At 38.5% G+C, this 20,069-nt stretch overlaps 1 protein-coding gene across 2 annotated transcripts in view, besides 1 other annotated feature; it reads left to right on the top strand.

The window, feature by feature from the left end:
- MORC4 (MORC family CW-type zinc finger 4) overlaps positions 1–20,069 on the top strand; it is a 59,475-nt gene that overhangs the window by 21,038 nt on the left and 18,368 nt on the right. For both annotated transcript variants that reach the window (NM_001085354.3, NM_024657.5), the window contains exons 8-10: positions 976–1,095; positions 2,491–2,591; positions 17,065–17,163. In NM_001085354.3, coding sequence (NP_001078823.1) covers positions 976–1,095; positions 2,491–2,591; positions 17,065–17,163 — 320 coding nt within the window. The remainder of the gene's footprint in view (positions 1–975; positions 1,096–2,490; positions 2,592–17,064; positions 17,164–20,069) is intronic.
- Positions 12,535–13,035: an enhancer, noted in NCBI's record as "H3K4me1 hESC enhancer chrX:106209370-106209870 (GRCh37/hg19 assembly coordinates)". NCBI's record gives its function as "activates a minimal SCP1, AML or CMV promoter by ChIP-STARR-seq in primed H9 embryonic stem cells {active_cell/tissue: H9 hESC(primed)}" and the evidence as "EXISTENCE:reporter gene assay evidence [ECO:0000049][PMID:30033119]".

Here is a 20,069-nt window from a genome sequence, read left to right as displayed (position 1 = left end):
CAAGTAGCTTGTCTTTTAGAGGGGGCATGGAGATCATTTTTTGAATAAGTAACAAAAGTAAATTTTCATTCAACTCATTTAGACATGAAGGTTTCTTAGTATTTGTTTTAATGAAAATCTCAGTTTCTCTATCTCCCCTTTATCTTTCTCACTTACTTACCTTGGTTTTTAAATTAAGTAGGACTTGTTAAAAACTCATCATTATTCATGTTTTACTTATAATAATCAGTTGTCTTCATTTCATTTATCCAAGCTTGTTAACTTCTTCCCATGAAATATATCACTACAGGACTATTCATTGTTCTTTACCTTTGCTTTTGCTTTCATTGTGTTTGGTATGGTAAGAAGGATTTACCTTATTGGATATAATTGTACAGATTTGTATTGGACCATTTACAGCTCTTATCAGAACCTATGTGCCCTAGCAGCAAACTGAGCAACTAGCAAGGGCTAAGAAATGTTTTATGATTATTTGTCAATTTTTAAATCACTGATGGTATTTAGGTATCTTTTCTTACAGTCTTTCTATGCATGTGTGTGTGTGTGTGTGTGTGCGTGTGTGTGTGTGATGTTTTTATAATCTGAGCGTTTCCTGATATTCTCAAATATTTCAAGGACATAATTTTAAAAGAGATGCATATGGCTATATCAACATTTATTTAATCATTTCTTTATTGTTGAACATTTAAATTATTTCTGTTTCTCTGCTTTTATAACAAATTGAAAAACCTCTGTAATTCCTTAACGTTTGTGGGCCTCCCTGACTGTTTCTGTGGGATAAATTCTTAAAAAGAGAATTACTTGGTCAAATATTAAGAATATTCTTAAAGCTATTGCAACAGATGTTTAAATGCCCGCAAAAAGGTTGTACCAATTTATGTCCCTTGGTATTTGATGGTTTTTGCTATAATATGGTGTAAAATTTTGTCGTTGAAGCCCCTGGTATGTTTGTCTCCTTAACGATGTTCTTCTCAGAATAAGCAGGTGAGAATCACCTTTGGGTTCTCTTGCAAGAATAGTAACCAGTTTGGAATAATGATGTATCATAACAACCGACTCATAAAATCTTTTGAGAAGGTGGGGTGCCAGGTGAAGGTGAGTAGTTAATATTTCTTTGTCATAGGAGGCTGAAAAGAGTAGGAAGAGAATTTAAAATTTGCAAAGGGGATAGGCTCATTAATGGCTTTTACTCCCATCTTATGATGCTTATTGAATTCTGATCCTGGAATTGTGTTACCAGTGAGCTGTCTTGTGTTGAAATCTCTTTCTAACTCTCATTCTTCAGCTGTTAATCAACCCAACAACTTTACTGAATGCATTTTCTAAGTAGCTGTCAATAAGAGGCAGAATTAGAATACCAGCAAGCTTACCATGTGTGTCAGCTTATTTGTGTTTTAGGTAACTCCATTTTCTTGGAGAGACAATAAGGCATAGTGGAAGGCATATAAAATATGGTGGTTGAAGACCAGGATTTGGGTCCTGAATTTTCCATTTACAAGCTGTGTAACCTTGGATAAATTGTTTAATTTATCTGAAGCTCAATTTCCTGACCTTTATGTAAAGTGGAAACAACAATAATAAGCATACCTGCTTTGCCTGCCTCACAGCTTACAGGGTTGAGAGATTTAAATGGGATAAATTATGTGAAAATATTTTTTAAACCACTCTATACAAATTTTACCATCATCTTTAATGTCTTAATGATTATTTAAAGTAGTAATGTCTACAAGTATCCCTTTTATTCCTATTTTACAGATAAGATTGCTAAAGCACAAAAAATGATGAACTGCTTCAACATAGTAAGACAGTTATATAAAGCCCAGGATAGCTCGTTTTCAGCCTATTTTGTTTTCCCTTGTTATAGCACCTTTAGACAACTCGTGTTTGTGTTCCAGTCCAATTACACCTTTACTTAGTTTCTTCCATTAAAGAATTAGAATATGATTTAAATCTATAAAACTCTTGCGTCAACTTGTAATTAATAATTGCTGTAAGTGTGACTCTTTAGTAGTTGTTTGGTGGCCTATGTATGTGGGAAAATTGTTTATTTTAATATAGGATCACACAGAACCCTTAAAATTGTTTTCAGATGAATATTTGTTTCAGTTCCTTAGAACAGTAGTATATAACCTTGGTTTTTTAGCACGGTAATTCTTTATTCAAATGCAGTCTTATGGCAGTCCTGGAATATAAAGCAGATAAAAGTGGAGGTAGTGTGGGTGAAGTAGAGATGGCTACTAATTGCAGAAGACTCCTAGGGATCTATGGATCATATTTTGAAAATCTCTGCCCTAGAATTTGTCAGAATTTCTAGTTCAGTTTAATGCTTGCAGTCTGTTGATGTACATTCTAAGTGTTTCTCTAGATCTTGATGGTCTTTTCTTGCCCATGAAGGTTATGTAACCTTTCTATTATTGTTTGGAATCAAAAGGAAATGCCTCCAGGCAGCCAACAGTAATGTAAGTGTTGAAATTAATATTTTCTTCTAAGCCAACTCGTGGAGAAGGTGTAGGAGTAATTGGAGTCATTGAGTGCAATTTCCTAAAACCTGCCTACAACAAACAAGACTTTGAGTATACCAAGGAGTACCGGTGAGTCACTCCCAACCTGAGGTGCTTCCGTTAGTTTGTTCAGATATGATTCTGTTCTCTAAAGCCTCTAAAACCATCTCTAAAAAGCAGCTAAATAAGTTAACTGAGAATTACTTCAAATTTGTTTTCCAAGATTAGAGATAAAATGCTTTCATTTTTAAATTAAAGTTTGCTGAATGATATATGGAGTCTCGTTGAGATAAACCTTACCTTTAGAAATTATGCAAAGAGCATAGGAGTAATTTGGTAAAAGATTTCTGGGGAAATGAAAAGCTTTGGAATTGATCTTAATGGAAACAGATGAATGGATCTGAAGTTATGGAATACATTGGATAAAAAAAAGCAGTTTGAAATTTGTTCCAAAAATTTTTCTTGAAGCCAGTGAACAGATTTAGAGCAAAGTGATGGAACAGCAGGAAAGACATGTGCTTTCATTAAAGCATCTAGATTTAATAGGGCAGGCAAACAGGTAAGAATCTGAAAGGAACTCGACATTATGGCTGAACCAGTAGGGATATTTTTCGAAAGGAGTTTTTAAAGCCAGGTTAGAATAGTTTGTTTAAAAAATGTCGAGAGGGAGATGGGTCTTTATTTCATTAAGTATTATGAGACAGCTTCTATGTGCCAGGTACTAAGGATGAAAAATAAGACTCTTTGATACCTATGAACAAATATGTATGCAAATAAGAAACTTAAATACTTATAAAATAATTGCTTTAATAGGGGGTATGTGCAAAGTGGGGAGAACTTTAAATATGCTTAAGGGAGTCAGGGAAGGCTTCACAAAGCAGATTATATTTGATATTAAATATGAAGGAAAAGTTTTCTAGGTGGACAATAGAGGAAGGACATTCTAAGCAGAGGGAAGTATCTGTAAGGGCAAAAAAGGGTAAGAGGTATTCTGGGAGTATGGAGAAAGAAGGCATGAGGACATTTGCGGTCATTTTCCTTGAAGTCTCAGTAGCAAATATTTTTCTTAGAGTGGGAGAAAAGAAATTTCCCAAATCTCTTTTGTTTTGTGCCCAAACTGTAATAAAGTCAAGTCTTGTACCTTAATTTGTCTGTAACCACAAGAATTTTAGGTTTAGTGTTTGAGAGAGATAACTATTTGAATGGCAACTCCAAATTAATTTCAGGGTAATTGGTTCATGGTTACTTGGGCTACTCAGTGGTTATGACAACTACCTGCCCTCAGTCTAAGTAAAATGGTCATTTAAATGTAAATCTGGCCCATAATGGAAATCTTTGACCAGGACTTAACTCTAAGTGAAAGCTTAGGAATGACATTAGTTTGACAGAAGTCTCCGAGTCAAGTTATTATGTTTCAATTGAGTGAAAGGAATAGTGAATTGCTGATGACTACCTAAATAATTAAGATTTGTGAAATTCAAATGTTAGATATTAAAAATTATTTAACATCTTTCTATATCATCTTTGCCACCAACCCCCCAAGTCTACCTTTAAAATTTTACAGGCATTAGATCTTTGGTTTTTGATGTCTAGTTTTGGTATGATGAGGTGATTGCAGTGGATCAGATAGAGATAGTCTGTAGACAGTAGATTTATTCAGTTGAACACACAGGATTTCTGACTTACTTAGCATAACATCTGCTACACACTTTATTAAAAACAGGGAACTAGTATACTATTCTGCGTACAGTCTTTTGAGGATAACAAATTTGCATAACTCATGCCAATTCTGGCACCATTGCCCTTTTTTATTCAATTTATTTTATATAAAATGAAAAGGTATTTAAATTAAAAAAAGGAATTTAAGAGAGGGATTAGAGAAGGTTGTCTGCTATAACAAACTCATCCTATGAGTATTATAGATATCAAAACCTGCAAATGATAAAAGAGATACCAGCCATCATACTGCTGGAATGTCTACAAATAAATCATCTGTAATACCACTTTTAACAGTTGTGGAGCTTACAGTCATTTGTATAAACAGATTGTAACATATATGAAGTAATTTGGCGAGCAATAAAAAAGCTCTTTAATCAACCAAAACCTAAGTAGTATGTTATGGGGAAAATGCCTTGATATAGGAGATGGGGAAGGTTTTGGGTAGAAAGTATGACTTGAGATATGTCTCACATGATATAAGATGTGGAAGAGAGGAAAGGGAATTCTAGGATGGAATTGTAGCATGAGCTAAGGTAGTGACAGGAACTCAGAATGGTAAGAATATGGAGAGAGGAGATAACAGGATATAGCTAGAGTGAAGGCAAATCAAGTTAAATGAGTAGAGTAGAGCCATACCCCAGAGCAGCAGTTGGTAAACTTTTTCTGAAAAGGGCCAGAAAGGGTCACAACTACTTGATTTTGCTGTAGTATGAAAGCAGCCATAGACAATAAGTAAAGGAATTGGCATGGGTATGTCTAATAAAATTTTGTTTACAAAAACAGGCAGTGGGCTGGATTTGGCTCCAGTTTGCTGACCTCTGTCCTAGAACCATCATTCCTAAATTACATACTAAGCTACACATAATGAATTCATAGGAGAGCCATGAGGTATTTTACATCTTTGAGGGAAATACAGTGATACTCAACTTCTGTCTATAAACCACAGAAATTGTCTTCTATTGCTGTCATAACAAATTACCACATAACTTAGTGGCTGAAAACAATACTAATTTACTGTCGTAGCGTGCTGTAGGTTGGATGTCCTACACAGATCTTACTGGGCTATAATCGAGGTGTTGGCAGGGCTGCATTCCTTTCTGGAGGCTCTAGGGAATAATCCATTTTCCTGTCTTTTCCAGCTTATAGAGGCTGCCAGCATTTCTTGCCCATGGCCCTCTTCCATCACCTTCAAAGCTAGTAGTGACAGGTTGAGTCCTCATATTGCATCACTCTGATGACCTTGCTTTTGTCATCACATCTTCTCTGATTCTGACTCTTCTGCTGCACTCTTCTACTTTTAAGGTCCCTTGTGATTACATTGGATAATTCAGGATATTCTTCCTATCTTAAGGTCAACTTGATGAGTAACCTAAATTCCCACTTGCTGTGTAAACATTATTATGTCTATCACAGTCTGCCCTTTGTTCTCTCAGATTCCACTTACATCTCATATGCAAAATATATTCACCCCGTCCCAACGTTTCCAAAAGTCCCTACCCATTACAGCATCAATGCAGAGTCAAAAATTTCATGTAAATGTCATCAGCTCAAAAGTCTCAAATCTCATTATCTAAATCACATAAGGGCAATACTCTGAGTATGGCACATCTTAGGGCAAAACTCCTCTACATCTGTGGATATGTATTTTCTTTTTTGTATTTTGCTGTTAAAGTACAGTGGTGGGACAAGCATAGGATACTAATTATATATATTCTTGTTTGAATGGGGGAGAAACTAAAAGGAAAAAAGGGGTCACAGGTCACAGGCATTTTCAAAATCTAGCCAGGCACATTCCATTAAATGTCAAGGCCTTCATCCTCTAGTCTTGAGGCTTTGCCCTCTGGACTTAGGGCTCCACCCTCAAAGCTGTCTTTCCTTTTTCCTGAAGGGTAGCATGTGTTGGCAGCTGAGTAGTTTCATCAGCCTGTTTCCTGACTGTAGAATTTTGAGGGTCAAACAGGATTCTCTCCATCCCTTTCAATTCAAGCTAGCTTTTTGTTTTGATTTTTTGTTTGTTTGTTTGTTTTTGAGATGGAGTTTTGCTCTTGTTGCCCAGGCTGGAGTGCAATGGCAACCGCAACCTCCCCATCTGGGGTTCAAGCGATTGTCCTGCCTCAGCCTCCCGAGTAGCTGGGATTACAGGCATGCGCCACCACGCCCGGCTAATTTTGTATTTTTAGTAGAGACGGGGTTTCTCCATGTTGGTCAGTCTGGTCTTGAACTCCCGACCTCAGGTGATCTGCCTGCCTCGGTCTCCCAAAGTGCTGGGATTTCAGGTGTGAGCTACTGTGCCCGGCCTCAAGCTAGCTTTCATGCTAGCGTGCCATTCTTAAGAACCTTGTGAGTCTCCCATGCGTGTCATGTATATTCATGTCATCCAACAAGAGGCTCTTGGCAGGTCTTTCCTAGGGAATCCTATATCTATTTTTTGGCTCCAGCTGAGATGGCTATGGAGATCTGTGAGTCACAGGCTTTATCTTTTTTTTATTATTATACTTTAAATTCTGGGTTACATGTGCAGAACGTGCAATTTTGTTATGTAGGTATACACGTGCCATGGTGGTTTGCTGCACCCATCAACCCTTCACCTACATTAGGTATTTCTCCTAATGTTATCCCTCCCCTAGCTTCCCACCCCCTACAGGCCTCAGTGTGTGATGTTCCCCTCCCTGTGTCCATGTGTTCTCATTGTTCAACTCCCACTTATGAGTGAGAACATGCGGTGTTTGGTTTTCTGATCTTGTGATAGTTTGCTGAGAATGATGGTTTCCAGCTTCATCCATGTCCCTGCAAAGGACATGAACTCATCCTTTTTTATGACTGCATAGTATTCCATGTGTATATGTGCCACATTTTCTTAATCCAGTCTATCATTGTTGGACATTTGGGTTGGTTCCAAGTCTTTGCTATTGTGAATAGTGCCACAATAAACATACGTGTGCATGTGTCTTTATAGTAGAATGATTTATAATCCTTTGGGTATATACCCAGTAATGGGATTGCTGGGTCAAATGGTATTTCTAGTTCTAGATTCTTGAGGAATCGCCACACTGTCTTCCACAATGGTTGAACTAATTTACACTCCCACCAACAGTGTCAAAGGGTTCCTATTTTTCCATAACCTCTCCAGCATCTGTTGTTTCCTGACTTTTTAATGGTCGCCATTCTAACTGGCGTGAGATGGTATCTCATTATGGTTTTGATTTGCATTTCTCTAATGACCAGTGATGATGAGCATTTTTTTCATATGTCTGTTGGCTGCATAAATGTCTTCTTTTGAGAAGTGTCTGTTCATATGCTTTGCCCATTTTTTGATGGGGTTGTTTGCTTTTTCATTGTAAATTTGTTTAAGTTCTTTGTAGATTCTGGATATTAGCCGTTTGTCAGATGGATAGTTTACAAAATTTTTCTCCCATTCTGTAGGTTGCTTGTTCATTCTGATGATAGTTTCTTTTGCTGTGCAGAAGCTCTTTAGTTTAATTACATCCCATTTGTCAATGTTGGCTTTTGTTGCCATTGCTTTTGGTGTTTTAGACATGAAGTCTTTGCCCATGCCTATGTCCTGAATGGTATTGCCTAGGTTTTCTTCTAGGATTTTTATGGTCCTAGGTCTTACATTTAAGTCTTTGATCCATCTTGAGTTGATTTTTGTATAAGGTGTAAGGAAGTGGTCCAGTTTCAGTTTTCTGCATATGGCTAGCCAGTTTTCCTAACACCATTTATTAAATATCGAATCTTTTCCCTATTGCTTGTGTGTGTCAGGTTTGTCAAAGATCAGATGGTGGTAAATGTGTGGTATTATTTCTGAGGCCTCCGTTCTGTTCCTTTAATCTGTATATCTGTTTTGGTACCAGTACCATGCTGTTTTGGTTACTGTAGCCTTGTAGTAAAGTTTGAAGTCTGGTAGTGTGATGCCTCCAGCTTTGTTCTTCTTGCCCAGGACTGTCTTGGCTATGCGGGCTCTTTTTTGCTTCCATATGAAGTTTAAAGTAGGTTTTTCCAATTCTGTGAAGAAAGTCAGTGGTAGCTTGATGGGGATAGCATTGAATCTATAAATTACTTTGGGCACTAAGGCCATTTTCACAATATTTGTTCTTCCTATCCATGAGCATGGAGTGTTTTTCCATTCGTTTGTGCCCTCTCTTATTTCCTTGAGCAGTGGTTTGTAGTTCTTGAAGAGGTCCTTCACATCCATTGTAAGTTATATTCCTAGGTATTTTATTCTCTTAGTAGCAACTGTGAAGGGCAGTTCATTCATGATTTGGCTCTGTTTTTCTATTATTGGTGTATAGGAATGCTTGTGATTTTTGCGCATTGATTTTGTATTCTGAGACTGCTGAAGTTGCTTATCAGCTCAAGGAGATTTTGGGCTGAGACAATGGGGTTTTCTAAGTATACAGTCATGTCATCTGTAAACAGAGACAATTTGACTTCCTCTCTTCCTATTTGAATACCGTTTATTGCTTTCTCTTGCCTGATTGCCCTGGCCAGAACTTCCAATACCATGTTGAATAGGAGTGGTGGGAGAGGGCATCCTTATGCCAGTTTTCAAAGGGAATGCTTCCAGTTTTTGCCCATTCGGTATGATATTGGCTGTGGGTTTGTCATAAATAGCTCCTATTATTTTGAGATAGGTTCCATCAATACCTAGTTTTTTGAGAGTTTTAGCATGGAAGGCTGTTGAATTTTGTCGAAGGCTTTTTCTGCATCTATTGAGATAATCATGTCGTTTTTGTCATTGGTTCTGTTTATGTGATGGATTATGTTTATTGATTTGTGTATGTTGAACCAGCCTTGCATCCCAGGGATGAAGCCAACTTGATTGTGGAGGATAAGCTTTTTGATGTGCTGCTGGATTCGGTTTGCCAGTGTTTTATTGAGGATTTTCACATCGATGTTCATCAGGGATATTGGCCTAAAATTTTCTTTTTTTGTTGTGTCTCTGCCAGGCTTTGGTATCAGGATGATGCTGGCCTCATAAAATGAGTTAGGGAGGATTCCCTCTTTTTCTATTGATTGGAATAGTTTCAGAAGGAATGGTACCAGCTTCTCTTTGTATCTCTGGTAGAATTCAGCTGTGAATCCATCTGGTCCTGGACTTTTTTTGGTTGGTAGGCTATTAATTATTGCCTCAATTTCAGAGCCTGTTACTGGTCTATTCAGAGATTCAGCTTCTTCCTGCTTTACACTTAGGAGGGTGTATGTGTCGAGGAATTTATCCATTTCTTCTAGATTTTCTAGTTTATTTGCGTAGAGGTGTTTATAGTATTCTCTGATGGTAGTTTGTATTTCTGTGGGATTGGTGGTGATATCCCCTTTATCATTTTTTATTGTGTCTATTTGATCCTTCTCCCTTTTATTCTTTATTAATCTTGCTAGCAGTCTGTCTATTTCGTTGCTCTTTTCGAAAAATCAGCTTCTGAGATTCATTGAATTTTTGAAGGGATTTTTGTGTCTCTATCTCCTTCATTTCTGCTCTGATCTTAGTTATTTCTTGCCTTCTGCTAGCTTTTGAATTTGTTTGCTCTTGCTTCTCTAGTTCTTTTAATTGTGATGTTAAGGTGTTGATTTTAGATCTCTCCTGTTTTCTCTTGTGGGCATTTAGTGCTATAAATTTCCCTCTACAGACAGCTTTAAATGTGTCCCAGAGATTCTGGTACGTTGTGTCTTTGTTCTCATTGGTTTCAAAGACCATCTTTATTTCTGCTTTCATTTCATTATTTACCCACCAGTCATTCAGGAGCAGGTTGTTCAGTTTCCATGTAGTTGTGTGATTTTGAGTGGGATTCTTAATCCTGAGTTATAATTTGATTGCACTGTGGTCTGAGAGAGTTTTTTGTGTTTTATTTTACATTTGATGAGTGTTTTACTTCCAATTACTTGGTCAATTTTAGAATGAGTGCTATGTGGTACTGAGAAGAATGTATATTCTGTTGATTCGTGGTGGAGAGTTCTGTAGATGTCTATTAGGTCTGCTTGGTCCAGAGCTGAGTTCAAGTCCTGGATATCCTTGTTAATTTTCTGTCTTGTTGATCTGTCTAACGTTGACAATGGAGGGGTGTTAAAGTCTCCCATTATTATTGTGTGGGAGTCTAAGTCTCTTTGTAGGTCTCCAAAAACTTGCTTTATGAATCTGGGTGTTCTTGTATTGGGTGCATATATATTTAGGGTAGTTAGCTCTTCTTGTTGAATTGATCCCTTTACCATTATGTAATGGCCTTCTTTGTCTCTTTTGATCTTTGTTGGTTTAAGGTCTGTTTTATCAGAGACCAAGATTGCAACCCCTGCTTTTTTTTTTTTTTTTTTTTTTTTGCTTTCCATTTCCTTGGTAGATCTTCCTACATTCCTCTATTTTGAGCCTGTGTGTGTCTTTGCATGTGAGATGGGTCTCCTGAATACAGCACACCAGTGGGTCTTGACTCTTTATCCAGTTTGCCAGTCTTTGTCTTTTAATTTGGCATTTAGCCCATTTACATTTAAGGTTAATATTGTTATGTGTGAATTTGATCCTGTCATTATGATGCTAGCTGGTTATTTCACCTGTTAATTGATGCAGTTTCTTCATAGTGTCAATGGTGTTTATAATTTGGCATGTTTTTGCAGTGGCTGGTACCAGTTGTTCCTATCCATGTTTAGTGCTTCCTTCAGGAGCTCTTGTAAGGCAGGCCTGGTGGTGACGTAATCTCTCATCATTTGCTTGTCTGTAAAGGATTTTATTTCTCCTTCACTTATGAAGCTTAGTTTGGCTGTATATGAAATTCTCGTTTGAAAATTCTTTTCTTTAAGAATGTTGAATATTGGCCCCTACTCTCTTCTGGCTTATAGGGTTTCTGCACAGAGATCCACTGTTAGTCTGATGGGCTTCCCTTTGTGGGTATCCCGCCCTTTCTCTCTGGCTGCTCTTAACAGTTTTTCCTTCATTTCAACCTTGGTGAATCTGACCATTGTGTGTCTTGGGGTTGCTCTTCTCGAGGAGTATCTTTGTGGTGTTCTCTGTATTTCCTGAATTTGAATGTTGGCCTGTCTTTCTAGGTTGGGGAAGTTCTCCTGGATAATATCCTGAAGAGTGTTTTCTAACTTGGTTCCATTTTCCTGTCACTTTCAGGATCACCAGTCAAACGTGGATTTGGTCTTTTCACATAGTCCCATATTTCTTGGAGGCTTTGTTTGTTTCTTTTCACTCTTTTTTCTCTAATCTTGTCTTCTCACTTTATTTCATTAATTTTATCTTCAATCACTGATTTCCTTTCTTCCGCTTCATCAAATCTGCTATTGAAGCTTGTGTATGCTTCACGAAGTTCTCATACTGTGGTTTTTAGCTCTATCAGGTCATTAAAGCTCTTCTCTACACTGGTTGTTCTAATTAGCCATTCGTCTAACCTTTTTTCTAGGTTTTTAGCTTCCTTACTATGGGTCAGAACATTTCCTTTAGCTCAGAGTAGTTTGTTATTACCCACCTTCTGAAGCCTACTTCTGTCAACTTGTCAAACTCATTCTCCATCCAGTTTTGTTCCCTTGCTGGCAAGGAGTTGTGTTCCTTTGGAGGAGAAGAGGTGTTCTGGTTTTTGGAATTTTCAGCCTTTCTGCTCTGGTTTCTCCCCATCTTTGTGGTTTTATCTACCTTTGGTCTTTGATGTTGGGGACCTACCTACGGATGGGGTTTTGGTGTGGATGTCCTTTTTGTTGATGTTGATGCTATGCCTTTCTGTTTGTTAGTTTTCCTTCTAACAGACAGGCCCCTCAGCTGCAGGTCTGTTGGAGTTTGCTGGAGGTCCACTCCAGACGCTGTTTGCCTGGGTATCTCACGAGTGGAGGCTGCAGAACAAATATTGCTGCCTGATCCTTCCTCTGGAAGCTTTGTCCCAGAGGGGCACCTGCCTGTATGAGATGTCTGTTGGCCCCTACTGGGAGGTGTCTCCCAGTCAGGCTACACGGGGGTCAGGGACTTACTTGAGGAGGCAGTCTGTCCGTTATCAGAACTTGAACGCTGTGCTTGGAGAACCACTTCTGTCTTCAGAGCTGTCAGGCAGGGACATTTCTGTCTGCAGAAGCTGTCTGCTGCCTTTTGTTCAGATATGCCCTGCCCCCAGAGGTGGAATCTAGAGAGGCAGTAGGCCTTGCTGAGCTGTGGTGAGCTCCGCCCAGTTTGAGCTTCCCTGCTGCTTTGTATACACTGTGAACATAGAACCACCTACTCAAGCCTCAGCAATGGCAGATGCCCCTCCCTCTGCCAAGCTCCCGTGTTCCAGGTCGATTTCAGACTGCTGCGCTAGCAGTGAGCAAGGCTCTGTGGGCGTGGCATCCACCAAGCCAGACACAGGAGGGGACCTCCTGGTCTGCTGGTTGCAAAGACCGAGGGAAAAGTGCAGTATTTGGGCAGAAGTGTACCACTCCTCCAGGTACAGTCACTCACGGCTTCCCTTGGCTAGGAAAGGGAAATCCCCTGACCTCTTGCGTTTCCCCGTGAGGTGATGCCCCGCCCTGCTTTGGCTTGCCCTCCATGGTCTGCACCCACTCTTCAACCAGTCCCAATGAGATGAACCAGGTACCTCAGTTGGAAATGCAGAAATTACCTGTCTTCTGCGTCGATCTCACTGGGAGCTGTAGACTGGGGCTGTTCCTATTCAGCCATCTTGGAAACGCTCACTTTATCTTTTCAAAGAGTAGTTTGTGTGACTGAATGCTCTGACCTTTTGATTTTCTGAGATATTATCAAAAGATTGTTCAGCCCCAGCCTCAGCTTTTTCTCTAGAGCATACTTTCCTGACAGTGAATCTCTAAATTTTAGCATATTTTGCAATCTGGATGGGCTGAGAATTTCCCAAGTAATCAAGTCCTGGTTTCTTTTTGTTTAACAGTTCATTCGTCAATTTGTCTCTCTCCTCTTGCATTTTACATAAGCAGCAAGAAGACACCAGGCCACACCTTTAACACTTTTCCTGAAGATCTCCTCAGCTAAATTTCCAATTTCATCATTTGCAAGTTCTGTTTTCCACATAACTGTAGGACAGTTCTGCTAAGCTTTCTGCCACTGTGTAACAAAGATCATCTTCTCTCAAGTTTTCCAATAACATGTTCGTCACTTCCTTCTGAGCCTTCACTAGCAATACCTTTAACATCCATATTTCTACCAATACTCTTGTTTACAATGATTTGGGTATTCTCTAAGGTAATTTGTGTTTTCTCTACCGTACTTTTCACTTCTTTCTGAGCCCTCATTAGTGAAAGCATTTATTAACATATATATTTCTACTAATGTCTGTTGAAGGCAATGTAGGTTTTTTTCTGTCAAGCTTCTCAAAATTTTTGCAACCTCTGCCAATTGCCAATTCTAAAGCCACTTCCATATTTTTAGGTATTTGTTATAGTAGTACCCCTCTTCCAGGTAGCATCCGCTACATTCTTTTTCATTATATCGTATCTTTGTGAATCTGGATTTAATCCATTTACATTAAAGTAATTACTGATAAGGAGAGACTTACTTCTGTCATTTTGCTGTTTGTTTTCTGTGTCCCTTGTAGCTTTCTTTGCCCCTCATTTCCTACATTGCCGTCTTTTGTGTTTAGGTGATTTTTTTTATAGTGAAACATTTAAATTCCTTTCTCATTTCGTTTTGTGTATATTCTATAGCTATTTTGTTTGTGCTTATCATGGGAATTACATTTAATATCTTTTAAGTTATGACACTCTAATTTGGATGTATACTACCTTAACTTCAATTCCTTACAAAAGTTTTGCTCCTTTAACAGCTCCATCACCATTCCTTTCAGTTGTTATCACAGAATTACATCTTTGTACATTGTGTGTCCAAAATCATAAGTAATTTGTAATGGATTAGCCTTTTAAATTGCGTAGAAAACAAAATGAGGAGTTACAAACTGAATTACAATAATACTGGCTTGCAGACTCAAAATTTTTATCTTTTCTTTCTTTTTTTTTTTTTTTTGACATGGAGTTTTGCTCTTGTTGCCCAGGCTGGAGTGCAATGGCACCATCTTGGCTCACTACAACCTCCCCTTCCCGGTTCAAGCTATTCTCCTGCCTCAGCCTCCCACGTAGCTGGGATTACAGGCATGCACCACCATGCCCAGCTACTTTTGTATTTTTAGTAGAGACAGCGTTTCACCATGTTGGTCAGGCTAGTCTCGAACTCCTGGCCTCAGGTGATCCACCTGCCTCAGCCTCTCAAAGTGCTGGGATTACAGGCATGAGCCACTGCACCTGGCCAATTTTTTTCTTTTAAATGTATTCTCTTACATTATATAGAAAATAAAAAGTGGAGTTACAAACTTCAAGGATTCCTTGAATGTAATATGTTGTTTCTCTCTTGGTGTTTTTAAGATTCTCTCTTTGTCTTTGACTTTCATGGTTTGATTACAGTGTGTCTGGGTCTGAGTCTCTCTGAGTTCATCCTACTTGGAGTTAAGGTTGGATGTTTATATTCGTGTCTTTCATCAAATTTGAGAAGTTTTTGGCAATTATTTATTCAAGTATTCTTTCTGTTCCTTTCTCTCTTCTCTTTCTGGGACTCTGCTAATGCATATGTTGGACCACTTATGGTGTCCTATGGGTCCCTTAGTTTTTGTTCACTTTTCTTCAGTCTATTCTTTCTGCTCTTAATACTTGATAATTTCCATTTTTTATCTTCAAGTTCACTGATTCTTTTTTCTGTCTGATCAGATCTGCCTTTGAATTCCTGCGGTGGATTTTTCATTTCAGTTTTTAGACTTTTCAGCTCCAGACTTTGTTTTGGATTTCTTTTTAGGTTTGTTATCTCTTTGTTGATTTTCTATTTTGCTTATGCATTGTTTTCTTGACTTTCTGCTCATCTTCATATAGTTTTTTGAGTATCTTTAAGACCGTTTTAAAATCTTTGTCGAGTTGATCTATTATCAGTTCTTTTTCAGGGGTGGTTTCTATTTTTTTCCTTTGAGTGGGCCGCCCTGTCTTGTTTGTTTGTATGCCTTGTGACTTTTTGTTGTAAACTGAACATTTGAATCTAATAATGTGGTAACTCTGGAAACAAAATTCTCCTTTCCTAGGGTTTGCTGGGTTTTTTTTTGTTGTTGTTGTTGTTTTTGTTATGTTGTAGGCTTTCTCTGTGCCAAGGATTGACCTGAGAAGTAAGTTTAAAGTCTTTTCACTTCTTTTCTCAGCTTGCATTTTTTTCTGGGCATTCACAGTGGCTTTCTAATTTTCCCCATATGTGCAATTGCTTTTGAATGTCCTTGTCTTTATGTCTGGCTCACAAAAGGGGGAAAATAGAGAAATAGAGGAGGAAAAAGAGATGCCAGGACTTTGAATCCTCTGGATGTCACTTCAACTGGAGGAGTAGAGGGTTGAAACAATGGGGGAGGTTCAACAACAATGGTCTCTTGCCTTTTTGTCTTCACATCTGTGATCAGAAGCAGCAAGCAGTGATCAGAGGATAGAATTGCAATATTTGGAGGACAGTGTCCTTTTTGCCCACACTGGCTCCTACAAGTTGCTCTTGGAACACATGGAGGGTTGCTTGCCACAGGGCTGGGAGTGGGGAATGGGTAGCTATTACTGAGCTAAGAACTGAAATTGACCAAAATTAACCACAATTTACCATCCAAGCCTTCTCCTGGAAGTTGCAAACTTTCCAATAGACTCCAGAGTTTCAAAATAGTTACATCATGCAGCTTTTGCTACTGCAGTTGTTGTATATGTAAGGAGACAGCTTCCACATGCTTCTTATTCTGCCATCTTCCCATATGCCCATCTAATCTACTTCTTTTTAAAGTAGATTTTAAGTAGATTTTTAAGAGGAAATGAGGAATAGTTCTTCATCTGTGACTTGAGGGAAGGATATAGACATAGAGTAGGAACATAAATAGGTTGAAGGGGAATAAGAGTTTATAGGGGAGCTCATATATGATTACTTTAATCTTTTCCATTTAGTGAGAATCTAATTTAATATGAATAAGGTAGAGATAAGGAAGAGTTTCTCTTAACAAGAGAAGAGCTCTGCAAAAACCTTGGGGAATGATCCAGGGGGCCAAGATATTTAAAAAATTCTGAATTCTAAGTGTACAGTTTTCCAGTTGTGTGTAGCTCTACATTAGGTTGTAATCTCGGGTTATGGAATTAAATAGGAATTAGTAATTCGAAAGTTGGAAGTTTTTAAAAGTAAAATTCAGGTTTTGATTTTTACAAATTACATTTTTGTTGACCCTGAGTCTACTGTTGTTCCTTTAGGGAGAGAAATAAAGAGCAAGGGCTGGAACTCAGATACAGCCTCCAGTAACGGCTATGTGGTAGAATGTTGGAGTGCTTGTTCATGGGCACCATAATGCTACTATGATCAGCATTTGGATGAAGAGGGACTATATAGACATATTAGAGTTAATATTTGATTGATTTATAATAGATAGGGTATAGTATTTGATCATCTGATTTTTACCTTGTTCTGAATTATCTACCTGTAGTCATCTGACAATCAAATAACTCCCCATCAACTTATCAATATTTGGCTCTATCCTATCTCTGCAGTTTGGTCCTCTGTCATAGTCTCTAATGTCAAGTTACCCATACACTCCATGATTCAACAAGCCCTGAAAATTTATAGAACTCTACTTTTTAGCACTTGTGACCATTTCACCTTTTCAACCAAAGTGACTGTTCAGTGTTACAACTTTGTCATTTTGACATGTAGCTTGCAAAGGCAATGGATTCCCATCTTGGTTTCTTAAAGTGTAGATGTTCAAAAATATGCCAGATACTCTAAATTATTGGTGTCTGTTAAATGGGAACTTCTCAAAGATCAAAGAATTGCTCAACAAGTGCTAAACTTTGACATACTTCTTGCATTTTCTTTCAGGCTAACAATAAATGCCCTTGCCCAGAAGCTCAATGCTTACTGGAAGGAAAAAACATCTCAAGATAATTTTGAGACCTCAACTGTAGCCAGGCCAATACCGTAAGTAATACATACAGAATATGAATGTATTAGGGGTAATATCCATAGATCAAATGGAAGGAACAAGGGTAATGTGTCTGGATTTGGTTCCTGCTGGTGGGTTCGTGGTGTCACTGACTTCAAGAATGAAGCTGCAGACCTTCGTGGTGAGTGTTACAGCTCTTAAAGATGGCACCGACCCAAAGAGTGAGTGGTAGCAAGGTTTATTGTGAACAGCGAAAGGACAAAGCTTCCACAGCTTGGAAGGGGACCTGAGTGGGTTGCCACTGCTTGCTGGGGTGGACAGCTTTTATTCCCTTATTGTTCCCTCCCGTGTTCCATTTCTGTCCTATCAGAGTGCCCTTTTTTCAATCCTCTCTGTGATTGGCTACTTTTAGAATCCTGCTGATAGGTGCGTTTTACAGAGCACTGATTGGTGCGTTTTACAGAGCACTGATTGGTGCGTTTTACAATCCTCTTGTAAGACAGGAAAGTTCCCCAAGTCCCCACTCGACCCAGGAAGTCCAACTGGCCTCACCTCTCAGTAAGATGGTGCTTTTCACATCAGGAAGTTTAATTGACTAAAAATAGGAACTCACAGGTACTAATTGCTTCATTCTCTAAACCTCTTCATTCTGCTTTAACACATTTACGGTCTGGATCATAAATGTGAAGAGTTTAGTACTGGTAGTGTGATATAGTAGAAGATGATGGCTATTTAAATCAAACGTTCCTGGGTTGAAAATCTGGATCTGCTTTTTAATAGTTGGATGAGCTTGGGTAAGTAAGTTACTTCACCTGTCTGAATATATTAACTTAGGTGACATACATTTTTAGCACAGTGACTGGCATATAGTAGGTGTTCAGACATGTTAGTAAACTTCCCCTTTTTTTTATATTCCTAGTGAATATTGCTGGGATTGTACCAGTACTTGAGAGTAGGAATAGAGAACCCAGTATGTTAAAGAAAAGGTAGAATTTATTGACTCTAAGACAGACAAGTCAGGTAAGGAGCATAATACAGAGGATCGAATGTGTGCCAACACATACACAGTCAGTTACACCACCATCAAGACAAACATTAGAGTGGTAAAAGTTCTTTTTGGAGTAGGTACCTATTATTTTAATGGAAATTATTAGGCAAATGTATGATATAAAATTTTATTTCTAATGCAACCTAATGGCTGTATGTATATCACCCTCTTCTTATTCTGAAGATCTCAGCTTATGGCTGTCCTCCATAGTTTTCAAAGAAGTACAAACTAAGATGAGATGCCATTTTTTGCCTTTCAAATTAGCAGTGATTAATGCAATGAAACAGATGTTCACATACTGCTAGAGAGTGTGTGTGCTGGAGGCAGAACTGTAATAATGGTAATTATTGAACGCTTACTTATATGTCAGGCACTGTTCTAAGTTCTTTACATGCAGTGGTTTATTTAATCATCACAACAACCCTACCTGTTAGATATTATTATTACTTCTTTACAGATGTAGAGACTGATACACCAAGAACTTAAGTAACTTGCCTAAGGTTAGACAAGCAGCAAGTGGTAGAACTAAGGTTCAAATATAGGTAATCAGGTCCCCTAAACCTAAGTTCTTAACTGCTGCTCTCTTCTGGAGGGATGCAATGAAGGGAATGTAGTAAAGCCATCTCAGCTACCAATTTCCTGAAAGCATGGGCTAAAAGCCTCTCCTGTCTGCCTGGATTGAAGGATCTACCATGATCTGCATGGAACCCGAAACAGAGGGTTGCTGCCTCTAAGCATGCCTATCCCTGAGAGAGTAATACTGGCACTCTGCAAGAGACTCTCCTATGCATATGCATGTAGAACCGAAGCTAATAGGACCTTTCTTCTCCCCTCCCACTACTGCTGAAGCTGCTTTTTATTGACTCTGGCTCTAAAACAGTGGCTGTCTAGAAATATATAGACACCAGAGGTCAGGCCTGAGCTTAGAGCTTAGAGGTTGCAAGGCTGGAACAGCCTGGAGCTAGGGAATAGGAAGCTGTAGATCCAAAAATGTGTACAAACTTTCTTTGTTCAAACAGAGTTTCAAAAAAAGAAGAGGGCATTGTATTTCAGTGGTAGAATTATGAGTGCCTTTTATTTTCTGTATATATTTCTCTATTTTCTAGTTTTTAATAATGAGCTTATATTACTTTTATATTTAGAAAAAAGCACAATTTAAAGCCAGGCACGGTGGCTCATGCCTGTAATCCCAGCACTTTGGGAGGCTGAGGCAGGTGGATTGTTTGATCTCAGGAGTTTGAGACCAGCCTCGGCAACATGGTGAAACCCCATCTCTACCAAAAGTACAAACATTAGCCGGGTGTGGTGGCGCATGCCTGTAGTCCCATAGCTACCTGGGAGGCTGAGGTGGGAGGATTACTTGAGCCCAGGAGGCAGAGGTTGTAGTGAACTGAAATTGTGCCACTGCACTCCAGCCTGGGAGACAGAGTGAGACCCTGTCTAAAAGGAAAAAACAACAACAACAAGAAGAAAATAAAAAGCACAATTTAAGATGTTAAGAAAATTATTGAACTAAGACATAAAAGAACCGCACCACTCTGTTGAAATATCTAGTATAAAAGAAGTATAAATATAACATGCATAAATCTCATCCTAGGCTAAATTACATGTTAGTGAAATTGGCTGAGGTGCCCCTCTTCTTGCTTTGTGTGTCTTTTCTCCAGCCGCCTTCATTCTCACTGTAGCCTGTCTTTTACACCTTAGGTACTGAGTACTTCTGTCATATAAGGACCACTTTCTCAGAGAAACAAATTCACTCTAAAGTGTAGGTAACTGAGGGGAATCAGAGTGGGTATGCATTTTAAGAGTTGAACTCTGGAAGAGTTTTATCTTAATTTAACCCCATTGCTGTCTGGAACCACCATTTCTAGTTATGAAATTTAATCAAATTTA

The sequence above is a fragment of the Homo sapiens genome, chromosome X (assembly GCF_000001405.40).
Source record: "Homo sapiens chromosome X, GRCh38.p14 Primary Assembly".
Taxonomy (NCBI): Eukaryota; Metazoa; Chordata; class Mammalia; order Primates; family Hominidae; genus Homo; species Homo sapiens.
This window is presented reverse-complemented; position numbering and strand designations above follow the sequence as displayed.